The sequence below is a fragment of the Homo sapiens genome, chromosome 2, assembly GCF_000001405.40.
Source record: "Homo sapiens chromosome 2, GRCh38.p14 Primary Assembly".
NCBI lineage: Eukaryota > Metazoa > Chordata > Mammalia > Primates > Hominidae > Homo > Homo sapiens.
Genome location: NC_000002.12, coordinates 173,878,183 through 173,882,058, shown reverse-complemented (window position 1 = coordinate 173,882,058; position 3,876 = coordinate 173,878,183).

Genomic DNA, 3,876 nt, shown 5'->3' with positions numbered 1-3,876 from the left:
ACAGGTGACGTTTAATAATAGTATAGCAAATATCCTTTGTGTTCTTCCCATGGTTATATCATTTTGACTGTACGTAGCACAGTCAGCATTCCAAAGAAGTCAAGAACTCTCTGTTATCCTAATATCATGCTTGGAGAAGATATGACTCTGCTTTTTATGCTCATCAGCTTAGGGTGGGGGGCACTTTTTAGGCATCAAAGAACAAGGTTTCCAGTTATTTGATACTTTGCATATTTTTCTTTTCTAAATGCTTCTCCTAAGGCAGCCCACTGTTGTGCTTGTCGTGTCACTTGGGTGCCTCTAGACATCTGTACGCTTCTCCAGCTGCATGGGAGACACACTTCACCTTGTGGCTCCTCCTTTCAAAGGTTGCCTGTGCTGCATGGAAGAACAGTTGACTTTGCTGATAGGAAACGTCTCATTGCACCCTCTTTCCACACCATCTGTCTGACCTGGACCCATTCCAAACACTACGGCTTTGCTGGCAGAATGGTCTTCCTGCTACAGAAGTTTTGTAATCTGCTAATTGACAGGGTAAGGAAAATTTATATTTGGGTTACAGCTGAAAAGTTGGATGTTTCTTTGATGGGGCTTTAAATACTGACATATGCTGCCTTGGTTTTTGATTTTAGGCATCCCCGTCTGAGCACAATCACGCGCTCTCCCCTGTGTTCTCTGCCTCATTGAGAATATGGCAGCCTTTGGAGAAGAACACCAATATGATCTACTAGGGAATTATCATCTACTTAGTTTACTCATTAAGCAATGATTTTATTATTATTATCTCTTTGTAGTATGAGACAGATGGCAAAGAAGGAGTTTGCTTTATTGAACAAGATGCAGTACTGGGCATGGCAGATCTCCCTGAATGGTTAACATCTTCCACAGTCACTCAGTCTAATAAGCACCTTTGCTTTTGTACAGGGTCTGATTCTACACTCAGCTGTTAATTTAAGTGCAAAGCTGTTATCAAGTCTTCTTCTTCTTTTTTTTTCAGGGACATCGTCTCACTATATTGCCCCAGGCTGGAGCAAAGTGGGGCTATTCACAGGTGTGATCACAGCGTACTACAGCCTCTAACTCCTGGGCTCAAACGATTCTCTGCCTCAGCCTCCCGAGTAGTCAATTATTTTTTTCTACAGGTGGGCTGAGGACAGAAAAATCCTAAAGATGGAAGTATCATTAAAATCGTGCTGATCCAGTTGACGTTTGTGGTTGCCCTCATCTTGCAATTGTGCTTTAAAACTCAATGTGAGCAACCCCCACTGAAGTGAGTACGGTCATGCTTACTGATCCAGACCTGAGTCCTTCAAGTGGTGTCCTCTGTGCACGAAAGCTACATGCACATACTGCAGGCAGTGCATGAGTGTGGTATGACATTGTGCCTCTGGACTCCTGGAGCCCCTCTTTCAGTTGCAGCCCCTTCAACCTGCCCTTGAACAATGATCGGCAGAAAGATGAGAATGAAAGAGAAGAAAGAGAATTTCTTCCATACCTTTCAAAACTTCAAAGAAGTTGTCCCCAGTCTGGTTCTGATGATTCATGTCTCAGTGCAAAGCACATATAAATATCTGAAATCTGCACACTGATCGGAAATAGTTTTTGGGAAGTTGGATTTAATCCCATGAGCCAAATGATCACTACCAACAGCAATCAGGGAAAACCAAAGTCCACAGCAAATTTTAATTTGGCAAATGCATAAAATGTTCAAAAGAGCAGAGGTCTCATTTACATTCCTCCCTCTTATATGGGATTTTCTTCTATATTAGTAATTAAAGGGTGCAGGCTATCGAGCGCAACTATATCACATAATAGCCATCGGGGGACATACTAACAACTTCCTTGAAGTAACGCACACTAGGGTGTTTATGGTTCAGTGTCACATAGACTCTCTTTGATCTAAATTAGGATTCATTGGCAAACTCACAATAGGCTCCACATGTACCCCTCTCAACCTCTTTCTTTTAATCATGGAAATTAGAGATGGAAAATACCTATTAAGTCACTTAGTCCATTTCCCTGTTAGGGCGAAATTGTTGCCTGTGATACATGGGTAGTGTTTGGTCCAGCTTAAATGTAAATGTCTCAGGCAGTGTGCAGCCTCCTAATTTTATCATTTTCTTCTTTCCCTTCAGAGGGGAATAAATATAAAACAGAGAGGGAGGTTTCCTCCCTTCTTTATGGATTGGAGGTAATGGTCGTGGGATGGGCAAATGTGCTCAGATGCTGTCAGCTTTCTGGAAACCACGCCTCTTGCTATGGCAATTCCATCACTCGTGAAGTACACAGATAATTCAATCCTCATCTTCAACATGTTTTACTCTTCAGCTCAATGGAACAATTCGGATTCCTCAACTATTCCTGTAAACCTGAGTGAGCAGGTATGGTGAGGGAGCACGAGGCCCATGAAAGGAGAACCTGTCTCTTTTAGGCTCCCTCTTTGATTAGTTCTAAACGACACAGCCCTCCCTATTGGAGTGCGAAGTCATGGGTGCAGTGTGAGCTCACGATTGGGCCACTGTCTATCTTATTCTGTGGAGTGGCCAGTGGAGGTATTTTAATCCTTTGAACATTTGGCACCTGAAAGATGCGAACTGTGTGTCATTGCACAGCGAATTCCCTCCCTGACTCATGTTCCGCAATGGAAGGAAAATTGTTACTCAGCATCTGCCCACATCTCTAGCTGTTGAAGTGAGGTCTATGGGAAAGTTGCAAAAACCCAGTGACCAACTCTCCAGTGAGATCTCTAGGGGACACATAGCAGTGGCTGAGATGAGACTTCAAAAGGGAAATCATGAGCCATTATTAGGTTTGCATTTGGGTTTGTTTTAGAGATTTTCTTTTAGTCTGCTAAAATCACTAGTGAAATTGTGCTGCCTTAGGAAAATTGAATAAGTGAACATTTCCAATTCTGATCCAGATGTGCTAGAGTGTGATTGTTCACATTATAAGACGGAAGTCTTACCTCCAAAATTCACTGTGGGTTTCACTCAGTGGGCTTCCCTCATGCCTCTGAAGGAGGATCAGGTTTGCAAAACCTGATGTACTTATTGAGAAGGCTTCTGATTGTCTAAAGCAATGGCAGGGTTCTATTAGACAGAAAAAGTGCTTTCAGTCATGTCCAAACACCATGGCTAATACTAACTGTACATTCACAGAGAGATAATGTTCAGGGCCTCTATCCTGTGTAATGTATTCCCAAGACATTTCTTATTTTAAATACCCCTGGGTGGTAATATATAATGAATCTTTGAATGGATACACACATACAAAATCGGAATCAGTTCTAACTTGATGGTCTAGAGTCAGAATCTACTAAATGCAATTCTAATATGGGATCCTATCCTTTGCTAATGAAAATCTCAAGTTTTAAGGCAGATGTGGCAGAGACTGCTTGTTCTCCTAGTAACCATTCTGCCTGATTTTTAGTGCCGGCATTTCCTACCCACCAGTATGGCTGGATAACTGTATTCTGGCCAATGAGATGTAGGGGGAAGTGGCGTGGGGCATTCCTGGATGGTATCCTTACAGAGCATCATCATATCCCCTTCTCCCCTTCTCTGTCATCTGGAAAGCGGTCATGGTGGTTGGAGCTCTAGCTGCCACCTTAAATCCCAGGGATGAGGATCACATCCTGGGAACAACTGGAAGGTGCCTGCACCCCACATAATTTCATGGAGTGTCCAGACTAACCATAGAGACCCTTCCTCTGGACATTTTTGTACAAGTATGAATAAAACCAGGTACATTAAAGTCACTGTTTTCTAAGGGTTTTTGTCACCCAAATCTAATCCTAATCCTAATTTTGTCCCTGGTCTTAATCCTTATTTTGTTTTTTGCACTTTTTTTTTTTTGAGATGGGGTCTCACTCTGTTG